General features: G+C 41.8%; 1 protein-coding gene across 1 annotated transcript in view, besides 1 other annotated feature; it reads right to left on the bottom strand.

Moving 5' to 3' along the window:
- Positions 1–14,060, bottom strand: part of MSANTD3-TMEFF1 (MSANTD3-TMEFF1 readthrough) — a 135,731-nt gene that overhangs the window by 111,360 nt on the left and 10,311 nt on the right. The window lies entirely within an intron of this gene.
- Positions 10,376–10,670: a silencer, noted in NCBI's record as "tiled region #7300; HepG2 Repressive non-DNase unmatched - State 23:Low, and K562 Repressive non-DNase unmatched - State 23:Low". NCBI's record gives its function as "represses a minimal TATA promoter and a strong SV40 promoter by Sharpr-MPRA in HepG2 and K562 cells {active_cell/tissue: HepG2 | K562}" and the evidence as "EXISTENCE:reporter gene assay evidence [ECO:0000049][PMID:27701403]".

Genomic DNA, 14,060 nt, shown 5'->3' with positions numbered 1-14,060 from the left:
CAGGTGGGTCAAAAGGAAGGACAAGATGTTTCAGCCAAGAGGCTGGGAACTTGAGAATGGCATCCACTGAGCCAAGAATCATGAAAGAGAGATAAAGCAAGGAGCTAGGTACCTGGAGGAATTACAGTGAGTCAAATGGAACTAAATAATTACATTTTACCACTGTGTGTGTTTAAGTATGTCAGCTTTCCTCTGTATGTATACATATGTATTGACCATATGTCATTTGCCTGTGTGTACATATGTAATGAGTGTATCAGCTTGCCTCTGTACATATGCATAAGTGCCAAGCATATGTCATTTTACTCTGTGTACATATGTAAGGAGTGAGTATATATCAGGTTGCCTCTGTGAGTGTGTGTATGCATGCATATTGGAGTATGACAGCTGGGCCCTGTGTTTGTACATGCACATTTACATGTGTGTATCCATGCATCCATTACTGTATTTATCAACTCATCTGTATATGTACATGTGAACTTGAATCAACAGACTTTTAATTATTCTCCCTTCGTCCCAGTTAAAAATTATTCCCTAAAGTCTAATGGCCTGGGGGTTCAGCATAAGGGTCAATATTATTGGATTCAGTCCTTAGTCTAGTTTCCTAATTGAGGGAGATGTAAAAGTAAAACAGCAAGACTGCATTCTGAAGCTATTTCTCTCAGCACAGAACAATAGTAATAATACATAAGGCAGCTTTGGTAGTGGTGACTTCAACAACGATGAGAACAGGGGTCAGGGCAGGACATGAATCTTGGTAACAATACCCCCATTCACCCAGCATTCATCCAACAATATTTAGAGATTGCCCATTATCTCCTAAGCAACCATGTTAGGCAGTGAGGATGCAAAGGTGAACAAGATAAACACCATCCCTGTCCTGTAGTCTAACAGAGAAGTCAAACTTTAAATGTAAAGCCTTTTGCGAATGATTGTGAATGTATCAGACTCCTACCACAGCAGGCAGTGGGGGTATCAAGGAAAGCTTCCTGGAAGTAGTGATATTTAAGCTGAGGCGGGAAGACTGATGAGTTAGAAAGGGGTAGAGAGGGAACAGTAGTCTATGAAAAAAAATCAACGTGTAAAAATGGAATAAAGGGTATGGCAAGTTCAAGAAATAGAGAAAAGGCAACCGTGGATGAAGTCTGGAGAGTGAATGACAGAGAATGAAGTTGGGGACTTTAGGAAGCAAGGGGCAGATGATGTGGACTTTTTAAGCTAGAATAAAGGGTAGGGTGCGGTGGCTCATGCCTGTAATCCCAGTACTTCGGGAGGCCGAGGCGGGCAGATCACAAGAGATTGAGACCATTCTGGCTAACACAGTGAAACCCTGTCTCTACTAAAAATACAAAAAAATTAGCCGGGCGTGGTGGCATGCACCTGTAATCCCAGCTACTCGGGAGGCTGAGGCAGGAGAATCACTTGAACCCGGGAGGTGGAGGTTGCAGTGAGCCAAGATCACATCACTGCACTCCAGCCTGGGCAACAGAGCAAAACTCTGTCTCAAAAAAATAAATAAATTAATTTAATAAAATAAGCTAGAATAAGGATTCAGACTTGATTTCAAAATTATAAGCAGGGAATAACCTGCTCAGATTTGTGTTTGTAAAAGGTCACTTGGTTAAATGGGTGAACTGTAAGTTATGTTAATTACATCTTATCAAAGCTGTTACAAATCATTTGGGTTGCAGTGTGCATAATGGATTGGAAAGGCAAAATATATGCAGGGAAACCATGAGGGGGCTATCAACATGGTCCACGTGAGTGAGGATGGTGGCTCGGACTAGGGAAGATGGAGACAAGTAAATTAATTGAATTTAGGAAGTAAAATCAGCAGAACTTGGTAACTGACTAGATGTGGGAGATGAGGAAGAAAAAATGTCAAGCAAGGGTTAATTCCAAATTCAGTGGCGTTTACTAAAATGGAAACTCTGGACAAAAAGCAGGTTTGGAGAGAAAATGATGAGTTTAGTTAGTTTTAGGCACACTGAATTTGAAGGGCCAGTGAGGCATCTGGATGGAGGTGTCCAGTAGCAGTTGAATTTATAAGCCTGGTGCTCAGAAGAGAGATTTATACTTGGCATATAAAGGTGGAAGGCATCAGAAGGTAAATTAATTGAAGTCATGAAAGTGAGTGTGATGATTTAATGAGATTTTATAAAATGAAAGAAGAGGACTAGGCTGAAGCTGAGGAACACTGATAGAAGTAACTAACTGTGACAGAACTGTCAGGAAATTCAGAAGGAACCCAGGAAAGAGCACTGTCATAGTGACCAAGAAGCAAAAGTGTCTCAAAAAGCAGGACATGGTCAACTGGTCAAATGCTGCTGATAGGTAAAGCAAAATGAGTCCAATGGATACAGTCACTTATAAGTCATCAGTGATCTTAGTAAAGCCATTTGGTAAAGTGGTAGGAGCAGAATCCAGAAAAGAGTTTATTGAAACTTAGTAATAAGTAGGAAGTAGAGGCCGGGCGCAGTGGCTCACACCTGTAATCCCAGCACTTTGGGAAGCCAAGGCAGATGAATCACTTGAGGTCAGGAGTTTGAGACTAGCCTGGCCAACATGGTGAAACCTCATCTCTACTAAAAATACAAAAATTAGCTGGGCATGGTGGCGGGCACCTGTAATCCCAGCTATTTGGGAGGCTGAGGCAGGAGAATCGCTTGAACCCAGGAGGTAGAAGTTGCAGTGAGCCGGGATCATACCACTGCACTCCAGGCTGGGCAACAAGAGGGAAACTCCGTCTCAAAAAAAAAAAAGAAGTAGGAAGTAGAGACAGAATGTTTAGACAGCTCAGCTGTTAAGGGAAGAAGAGAAAGCTAAAGGTGACTGTGGGTAAAGAAAGTACTTTTTAAGATAAGACTATAAAATATTTAAATGATTATGATAAAAATCCATTAAGGGGGCAAGAGGAGACTTGAACATAACAACACAGGAGAAAGGATAATCAGTCGCATAAGACTTTTTCTTTGAGACAGAGTCTCGCCCTGTCACCCAGGCTGGAGTGCAATGGCACGATCTTGGCTCACTGCAATCTCTGCCTCCCAGGTTCAAATGATTATTTTGCCTCAGCCTCCAGAATAACTGGGATTACAGGCGCCCGCCACCACGCCCAGCTAACTTTTGTATCTTTAGTAGAAAGGGGTTTCACCATGTTGGCCAGGCTGGTTTCGAATTCCTGACCTCATGATCCACCCGCCTCAGCCTCCCAAAGTGCTAGGATTACAGGCGTGAGCCCTGCCTGAGATTCTTGAGAAAATAGGAAGGAGTGGCATTCAGAGCACAGATAGAAGAAATGGCTATTAAAAGAAGACACTTTCTTCTTTGTAACAAGAAGGAAGGTAGAAAGAATGGGGGCTGTTGCAGGTGGTTTGTAGTTAGGATTTTGAGTTATTGAGGAAATTCCCGGATCACAGCTTCTATGTTCTCCCAGCAGAGCTTAGGAGAGATGGATAGCACCAGAGGCAGACACCAGAGAGGCAACAACCTAAAGCTGTGATGCTTAGGAGGAGGAAGGAAGTTTTCTCTCTGGTGGGTGTTTCTTGGCACAGGGAAAAACTATCCCCTCTCCTCCCCACCCCAGCAAAGGAGTTCTAAGGGAGACAATCTCTTAAAAAACATGTGGCGAAGTGGAGCCTTTGCTTTCTGAGTAGCCAGCATGACTTGAGGTAACCTAAATTCAGATTTTCTCAAACCCAACATACCTTCTTTCCATATGAATGCTGACAAATGGTCAAGACTGAGTTAATCACCACTTTGCAATCTTCAACAAGATAATGGAATCAGATAAGGATCATCAATGTATGCCAAAACCGTTGGGTGAAAGGTTACAAGGAGACAATATTCATGGTCTTAAAGCATCACCCTACAGACAACTTATTAGCTATGAGTGAAAGTAACTTTGGCCAGGAGCAGTGGCTCACGCCTGTAATCCCAGCACTTTGGGAGGCCGAGGCAGGCAGATTACTTGAGGTCAGGAGTTTGAGATCAGCCTGGCTGACATGGTGAAACCCTGTCTCTACTAAAAATACAAAAATTAGCCGGGCATGGTGGCGCAGGCCTGTAATCCCAGCTACTCGGGAGGCTGAGGCAGGAGAATCGCTTGAACCCAGGAGGCAGAGGTTGCAGTGAGCCGAGATCGCGCCACTGCACTCCAGCCTGGGCGACAAAGTGGGACTCCGTCTCAAAACAACAACAACAACAACAAAGAACAGGGGGTGTTTCAAATCCATAACCTTGTGTTTGAAATGAATGAAATATAATTAAAACAGGTTATTTAAAAAAAAAAAAGAAAAAGAAAGAAAGTAACTTTATAATGGAGAGATCTGACTGCTACCGACTCCACCAGGTGATCAAATTTAGGGACAATTTGCCATTATGTGCCTCCTAAAATGATGCAATCAGAGGTTCGTGACATATATCTGCATGATACCCTTGCTGACAAGGTTGAACCTGAATCTAATCACGAGGAAGTACCCAAATAAATTCAGAATGTGAGGGTACTTTACAAGTCCTGGACTTGAAAATAAATTTAATGTCATGAAAAACAAAAGATAAGGAGAGAGGTTCGTTCTAGATTATTTAGACTAAACAGACAAAACAACCAAATGCAGTAAACCTTAATCGGATCCGAAAAAATAAACAGCAATAAAAGATATTAAGATAACTGCAGAAATTTGAGCATAGACTATTAGACGATACTGAATTAATGTTAATTGTCTTAGGTGTGATGATGGGATTATAGTAATCTAAGAGAATTTTCTTATTTTTGGTAGATACATGCTGAAATATTTAGGGATGAAGTGTCATGATGTCTGTAACTTCCTTTCAAATGGTTAAAAGAGAGGAAAACGAACTATTAACAATTGATAAATGTAGGTAAAGGGTTTTAAAAATATTTAAAAAAAAAAACCTCAGTGCAAACTATTTCTTAATTACTTCACCAAACTTTTCTTTGCCATGACCTTGGATAACTTTATGCTTATAAGCATAAACTGTGCTGCTTGATGTGCTAAATTAGATTGAAATCTTTAAAAGCATCATAGCAAGAAAATTGCTCTGCAAAACTTTTTAGACATAAAAGAACTTCTAATTTGTGTAGGAGTATAAGTAAAGATATGGTAAAGTGGTAAAGCAAGCCACAAAATAATAAGAATGCTTTCCTGGGAGTCAGAAACCCTTTGAGTCTAGCACTTAAGACTAGAGATGTCATTCTCCTCATTTGCAGAGCAGGGCTAATGGTATCAGCTTCATCAGCCTGCTGTACAGGTACAGGAAAAACAGGATGTGAAAAGGATTTATAAACTGGAAATGGGTACGCAAGTGAAGGGGTTTATAATTATGATGACATGTTGATGTCCTATTAGCAGTGGTTCTCAAACATCATATACGTAACAAGCAAATGGGCAGCTTGTTACAAGTGTACATTCCAATCCCACCTCAGAGATCCCGATTCAGTAGGTCCAGGATGGGGCCCGGAATTTGCTCTGTGAAAGCACCCCAGATTCTCTGGTGCAAGTGATCTGAAAGCCACATTTAGACAACTGCCTTGGAGGAGGTTAGAGTGATCTAAATTCTTGCTATACATCAGTTAGTCCATGGCCAACAATATCACCATCACCTGGGAGCTTGTTAGGAATGCAAAATTCACCCCATCACAGATTTACTAAATCAAAATCTGCATTTTAATGAGATATCCAGGTGATTTATATGCATACTAACATTGCAGAAACACTAATCTAAATGGCAAACCTGATTGATGATCTCTTTTTTGCCTTGGTCACTGGTTCTCAGCTTGCTATCAGACAGAATTGGGGTTGCCATCTTAAGCTGGTTGCTGACACTTAAAACCTCACTTAGCTCTTCTCTCTGCTTTTTTTGCTTCAGGCTCCTCAGTCTCCTGGCAGATCTTTGATGAACATAACCACCCAATCAGCGTGCTGAATTTCTCCCATGTCATAAACAGACCAATCAAAGCCTACTGACTTGGAATCTAAATCTAGTTAAGCTATTTACTAGCTATGTGATTTCCTTTTCTTTCTTGTGGTGAAACATAACACAAAATTTACCATTTTAACCACTTTTAAGTGTACAATTCAGTGGCATTAAGTACATTCACATTATTGTGCAACCATCACCACTATCCATTTCCAGAACTTTTGGTATATAATTTTGAACGAGTCACTTTAACCTCTCCAGGCTTCACTTCCTCCTCTATAAAATATGAATATTATTACTTACATCTGCAGACTATTTATGGAATTAAATGAAATAATACATAAATATGCCTAAAGCCCCCCAGAAGGTGTTCAATAAATGCTGACTTCCTTCCACTTGAAGTAGTTTTTCACATAGCCCTTGTTTTACAATAGAAATCATCTACCATAATCAATTGATTAGAATTTTTAAAGGACATACAAAAATCTACATATTCTGGGCACATGATTGCCTTAGAATGGGGAAATTTATAAAATAGAAGTGGTCTATAATCTATAGAACTGGGCAGTTTGAAATAAACAGCAATTACATTTTGTTGGGAAAATTACATTTGGAGCAGCAACAACCTTTTTGTTCCCATTGTAGAGAAATTCTTCTATTACCTATATTTAGATTGCATTTATAAACAGCTTAAGTATAATACAATAATCAATAACATTCATGAATGGTGCTTTCAACCTTGGGGGCTGATCCACCTGCATGTAGTATTTGAATTCCATTTATGTACACATTATCTGTTAAGGAGAAGGTAAAATTGATAACTTGGGTTACATGCAGTAAATTGAAAAAGTTAGTTTAATTTCAGAATTAGACTAATTAGAACATGAATTTAGAGATCCTCTTCTCCAACACCCTTATCTCACAAACAAAGAAATTAGTATCCAGAGAGACCTAGTAACTTGCCCACAACACTGGAACCAGAGCCCAGATTCTAGGATTATGTCCTGTTGTTCACTTGACCTTGAAGAACGGCTAACATTTCAGCAGCATAGGTGATGGGAAGGGATTGCAGAGAAGCTAAGAGAACTCCAGGTAGAGGGATCAACAGAAGAAATTTCACAGAGTCTGGCTCTGAAACTGAGAGACTAATGATTGTGTTCAAGGAGTGTCAGAGTAAGGAGGCTGGAAGGCAACTGAAGATGAGGCTTTGTGATGGGAGAAGAGATAGTCTTAGACTCTTGTAACACAAAAGATCAGAATAGAGGGTTAGAGGTTTTGGGGGTTTGTTTTTGTGGAATTTTGTGGGGTTTGAGTTTACGATTTTCAAGGCTCTTCCAAATTTGTATTCTCATGAGATCATAGCAATCATGAGAAAGTAGGTATTTTGCTGATGATGGTCTTTACTCAGGAGGTCACATCTTTGCAAAGCTAAGATTTGAAGTCAGATGCTGAATACAAAGGCTGTGTATTATAATTCTTTTTTATTAATATTTTTAAATTTTTTTTTTGAAGACAGAATCTCACAATGTTACCCAGACTGGCCTCGAACTATTGGGCTCAAGTGATCCTCCCACCTTCGCCTTCCCAAGTGCTGGGATTACAGGGATGAGCCACCGCACCCAGGTGTATTGTCATTCTTTTCTTTTTTTTTTTTTTTTTTTTTGAGATGGAGTCTTGCTCTGTCGCACAGGCTGGAGTGCAGTGGCACGATCTAGGATCACTGAAACCTCTGCCTCCCAGGCTGGAGTGCAGTGGCACGATCTAGGATCACTGAAACCTCTGCCTCCCAGGTTCAAGACATTCTCCTACCTCAGCCTCCTGAGGTAGGAGTACACCACCACACCCAGCTAATTTTTGTATTTTTAGTAGAGACAGGGTTTCGCCATGATGGCCAGGCTCGTCTCAAGCTCCTGACCTCAAGTGATCAACCTGCCTTGGCTTCCCAAAGTGCTAGGATTACAGGCGTGAGCCACCACCCCTGGTCTGTATTGTCATTCTTAAAAGCATGAACTCTGGAGCCAGACCACTTAGGTTCAAATCTCTCCATCCCCATGTAGAAGCCATATGACCTTGAAAAAAATAATAATGGCTAAAATATATAATGTTTATTATATGCCAGGCAGTATTCTGAATACATATGTCACTCATTTAATCCAACAACCCTATGAAGGGTTTTCTATTATTATCACCATTTTAAAGCCTCCCCCACTAAATGAAAAACAAATTTAGAGGAAGGAAAGCAGTAATGAAGAAGTGTCTTAGTAGAAAATGAGGAATGAGGACGCATTTGTTCCCTGGGTTCCCCATTCCTTGATTTATAATATAATCTCAACTCCTTGGTATCCCCCTAGTTTTCTTCCCACTTGTGATTCTGTGGTAGATTAGATTATTGTTCCTCCTCTCCTCACCTTCTTAGGAGGAGTCTACTTCCCTCCTCCTGACTTAGAGCTTCATGCTTTGGCCAAGGAGATGTTAGCAGATATAACACTGAATCATAAAATATTCTTCTACAGTTGCGCTTGCCCTTTTGTACTTCTGTCCTGAGAAGAGGTTCCCTGGATAGCTCCTGCCCCTTCAGCCTGGAAATAAAGGTGACCACATGAGACATTTGCCCCAGCCATACCCCAGATTTCTCAATGCCTGAGTGACTGGGGCAACTGCCTCCAGTCCCACAGAATGTTGAAGACCAACCAGCCCCTTCCAAGAAACTCTTTGGAGACTCATAGTTAAGAATCTAAATCTATATGCACAGCACCAGCCTCTGAATTTCCTTTTTGGTTATGCTGGAAGCTGAACCAGATGATGGGACAGAAAAAGAACTAGAGCCTTACCTTCCACTGCTACTTAGAGTATTTCCCCCATAGCAAGTAGTCTTTAGATTTAAAAAAAACAAATTTTTTTTTTTGAGACAGTGTCTCACTCTTGTTACCCAGGCTGGAGTGCAATGGTGTGATCTATGCTCACTGCAACCTCCGCTCACTGCAACCTCCGCCTCCCGGGTTCAAGCGATTCTCCTTCCTCAGGCTCCTGAGTAGCTGGGATTACAGGCATGCGCCACCATACTTGGCTAATTTTTGTATTTTTAGTAGAGACAGGGTTTCACTATGTTGGCCAGGCTGGTCTCCAACTCCTGACCTCGTGATCCACGCGCCTCAGCCTCCCAAAGTGCTGGGATTACATCCACCCGCCTCAGCCTCCCAAAGTGCTGGGATTACAGGTGTGAGCCACTGCACCCAGCCAGAAAAAAAAAAATCTCTTAACAGCATTTTGAATTTTCCCCCCAAAAAACCCATAGAAAAGAAAACAGACCAGAGCCAACTTAAATCTCTTAGCAGTCACCAGGAGCTAAGAAAGAGAACCCATATTCCATTTCCCTATCTCATGGACTGACTGTCAGCCCTTTAGTGAGCATGCATGGTTAGTCTTTTCCCCCAAAACTGGCTGTGCTGTAAGGGCATTTTAGAAGTGGAACTGCAGATCCTCTCATTCGGAAGTAACAAGATCACATTCTGTCCATTCCAATCAGTACTTACAGTGAGAGAACTTTCATATACAATCTGGACATCTGGATAATGCAGAAACCAAGTTTTCCACCTAATGATGATAAACTTCACTGTTAGATTAATAATCAGCTTGCAAACCCAACAGTTATATTGGGTAATAGAGGTTCAATAGATGTGTTCTTTTAAATCTTCCATAAATCACTTCTATAAATTGAATCTCATATTAAATGCACCAAAAGCCTATTTAAAGAAATGCCATGTTGAAATTTTTCATAAAGAAAATAATCTGAAAGTAGAGCCTGAGATGAAGTTAAAAAAGAAAGAAAGGAAACAATCACACTCTTGTATTTGTAATGGAAGTTTTGTACACTGGGTGTTCCTAAACCATGGTACACCTGGGATACTTCCCCTACAGGGCAGCCTCTCTACAGGAGGGCACCCACATCCCAAACACAACAATTCAATGCTTTATATCATTCTTTATTTTAAAAGTGCTTTACCAACATATACTAATCTTCACAACATTCAAGGGAGGTAGATAAGTATTACACCACTTTCACAGATGGAGAAACTGAGGCAGAGATTAGTAAGTTGTATTGAGGGGCATAATATACGGCACAATTAGGAAAAGAATTTGTTGCAGTCATGGATCACTGAAGACCTTTCTCATGATTTCTGAGTCCCATCAACACAAAAAGCAGCAGATGCAGCATGGAAGCAGGTCATCACTAGTTTGGCTAGTCTAAGGTTAAACATTACCTTGTTGATACCAGATGTTGAATATGCTGTCCTTTGGCAAGCATCCCCCTCAAACGCATTCTTACATGCTTCCACCTCTAAACAGGAGAGGGGAAGCTGTTGTGAGTGCAGCAGGAGGGGGTGGAGAAACAGCGCTGGGAAGGAAGATGACAGAAGAGAAAACATGAACTGATATAAAAGCGAGGGCAAGGACAAACAAGAGGACCCTCTGGGAACCAGTCCAACAGAAAGGAAAGCCACAGCAGAAAAGAAGTATCATTTGAAAAGCTCAGACATCCAGAAATGCTACTCAAAGTGTAATTCTTAGCAATGACATTCAAAGCCACTCCTCCTGGCTTTGCCAAATATAATCATCAGGTCCTTCTGACATTCCCAGGAAGCAGAATCATTCCTTTCCCTGGTCCAGTCCAAGTGCTGATGTAATTGACCTGACACTGCAGAGACTGTTGACAACTCAAATGTACCCTCCCACCATGCCACCTCTCTTCCTCTGCACATCTAGTCTCTTCAAAACAAAGCAAAACAATGCATTTAATATTCTCCCTGCAAAAATCCTAAGACATTTCTGGAGATTTTGATGCATAATAATGTAGGATTCCATGCATGAATTTTTATAAAAGGGGCACGATGTGTATTAACAGCCCCTCTCAGCGAATGCTTGTTTATACAACATGGAACATTTTTTAAAATTGTGGATACCAACTGTCTAGAGAAAAATTGGAGCGCAAGGGAAAGAAATAACTTCTCTTGATCTTTCTAGTGGGAAGCAAATATAAGAGATGGTGACTGACATCCCACCAGCTGCAATGGAGGTACTGATGGCAGACGAAGCACCAAATGAGTAGGTGAACAAGGACCCAGCAGGGAGGGTCTAAGTCAGATGAACAGGTGGAAGCAGCAGCCCAGAGAGCTGGAGAGGCAGAAGTCAGGGAAAAGACATAGTAGCCAAAGAGGAAATGCATGGAGGTGATGGTGTTTGAGGTCTAGGCCTTCCTAGGACAGGTTGGAGCCCGAAATGCATCCTTTCTTCCTTTATTTCAATCAGCAGCATCATTCTTTCAGACATGTAGCTTTAAAATCTTATCCCTTCTCTCCAACAAACAAGGTCAACTGCCAAGCCTTACTGATTCCACTTTGGCAATGCCCTTCACACTGATCTCCCTCGTGGGTTTGTTTGTTTGTTTGTTTGTTTGGAGACGGAGTTTCACTCTTGTTACCCAGGCTGGAGTGCAATGGTGTGATCTTGGCTCACTACAACGTCCACCTCCTGGGTTCAAGCAATTCTCTTGCCTCAGCCTCCCAAGTAGCTAGGATTACAGGCGCCTGCCACCACGTCTGGCTATCTTTTTGTATTTTTAGTATAGACGGGGTTTCACCATGTTGGCCAGGCTGCTCGCGAACTCCTGACCTCAGGTGATCCACCCGCCTTGGCCTCCCAATGTGCTGGGATTACAGGCGTGAGCCACCGCACCCGGCTGTCTCTCTTGGTTTTACTGCAACCTCTTCTGGGTCCTGCTATCATCTCATCCTAACCAGGGACAAACCCTCCTACGTATCCCCTACTCCAGTCTTCTCTCCACTCAGTTCTTTCTTCTACTCTTCTTCCTGGAGTACAGTTCTGATCACATTACTGCCCAAACTCAGAAATTCCCCATGCTGTCACTCCCTCTCAATTATGTGTCTCATTACCTTGAATCTTCAACAGGACCTTGCATCTAGTGAAGTTCCTCTGGTTTCCCAATCTCCACCTGCCAAAATGCCGACTCTGAAGACTTAGCTCCAGTGCCATCTCCTCCATGAAGACTTCCTTCATGCTTCTTAGCTCTCTGCTGAGGTACAAGTGCACTTTGAAGACATGCACTGATCAAGCGCATGATAGCTGTGTACAACCCTTATACTCCCTACTGGGCTGTGTCCGTAATTTGCCAAGGTGGGGGATGATGAACTGTGTCTTAATATTTACCTGTCTATCCCCTACACCACCTACCAAGAAATGGTTATTGCATTTCTACCTCGGGTAAGAAACTGCTCAAAAGTGAAATGAATTGTGATATACTTGCTCACAAATGGAGACACTGAAACAAGTACCCTGTAATGTGATCTGACTCTCAGGATAAAACCAATTCATGATAGAGCTCAAGGAATGGGACAAGGGCAGGCAGTTTGGACTACATATTTTGGAGTCAAGAAATCTGGGATTGAGGTTCTGCTTTGCCATTCGCTAGCTATCTGCTTGACACCAGGTGGTTCTTCTTTGAGCATCATTTCCTTCCTTCTGCATGGCCTCATGGGATTAAGAATAAAATGAGACACAGTTGTGAATGCTACATCAGTGATTCTCAATCCCAATTATGCATCATAATCCCCTGTAAAGCTTCTGAAAAATATAGAGGACAAGGCCCCAGCCCAGGTAAATTGAATCAGAATCCTGTGGAAATGGGACGCAGTGGGACTAATCATTTATAAAATGCTGTTTCTAATGCATAGCCAAGGTTGGAAGCTACTGTTATAAACTCATAAGTACCATTAACAGTAGAGCAAGGTGCTTTAGGCTGCTGGTTTAATTATCCTTTATATGTAAAGTTAGGAATCAGTTCAATGCTTTTATAGTTCCATTAAAATACACTACTGTGTGCAAGCATTTTTTGTATTCTTCTGCATTGTTGCATGGTTAAGTTCTGAAAGAATAATATCTAGCACCACTGTATGTAAAGATGTACCTAAGCCAAATTTTTGAGAAATAAAAACTTCATAGAGTCCTCTGAAACCTTGCTATTCAGAAGTGTGGTGACCAGACAAACAGAACTGGCATAAACCAGGAACTTGTAAGAAATGTAGAATCTCAGACCCCACTCCGTACTCTCTATAAAACGAGGTTCTTAAATGTGTCAATAGGTGAAGCAAAGGCAATCTTTGCTCAGTTCACATGTATGTTTAGGGTCTGCCATTCCCTGTCCTAATTCTAACAGGGTAGGAGGGCATGAATCATCAGATTCTCTCTTCCACAAACCACTGAAGATTGGGACTTTATCCTGATGCTTCTTTCTCTAAAAGGGTCCATTTGGTAAAAACTAAATTAAGAACATAAATCCTTACAAAAGGATCTTTTCTTTCAAAGAAGACTAGTCTTCACAGGCTTTCTTCAAATAACCAGTTCCTCTAAGACATTGAAAATATAATTCGGTGTTTAAAATAAATTCATACCCGTTTTGTGTGCTGTGCATAAATAGCAAGTATATGTGTACCTTACCAAACTTATGGTCCCCAGTCCCCAAATTCCAAAATTATGCAGGAGGGAAGGTTAGCCATTGCAGTAAACAATTTCTCCCTATTGACCCATGCTCTCCAGCTGATTATGATGTGGGCAGTACTCATCCAAGGCTATACAGACCAGCCGGGCGCGGTGGCTCATGCCTGTAATCCAGCACTTTGGGAGGCCGAGGCAGGTGGATCACGAGGTCAGGAGATCGTGACCATCCTGGCTAACACGGTGAAACCCTGTCTCTCCTAAAAAATAGAAAAAATTAGCCAGGCGTGGTGGTGGGCGCCTGTAGTCCCAGCTACTCGGGAGGCTGAGGCAGGAGAATGGCGTGAACCTGGGAGGTGGAGCTTGCAGTGAGCCAAGATGGTGCCACTGTACTCCAGCCTAGGCGACAGAGTGATACTCCGTCTCAAAAAAAAAAAAAAAAGACTATACAGACCACACCATAGCCAAGAAGTTGTAACAGACTTGGAACGTCATCTAGCCCAACTCCCTTGTTCTGTGGACAGGAAACACTACACCAAGGGTTAAAAGGAGTTACCCACATTCATACGGCAACTTGACGGAGAGTTGAGCTTAGAATTCAGGCCCTGACT

This window comes from Homo sapiens, chromosome 9, assembly GCF_000001405.40.
Source record: "Homo sapiens chromosome 9, GRCh38.p14 Primary Assembly".
Taxonomy (NCBI): domain Eukaryota; kingdom Metazoa; phylum Chordata; class Mammalia; order Primates; family Hominidae; genus Homo; species Homo sapiens.
The sequence above is the reverse complement of the archived record's forward strand: the minus strand, read 5'-3'. Positions and strand labels throughout refer to the sequence as shown.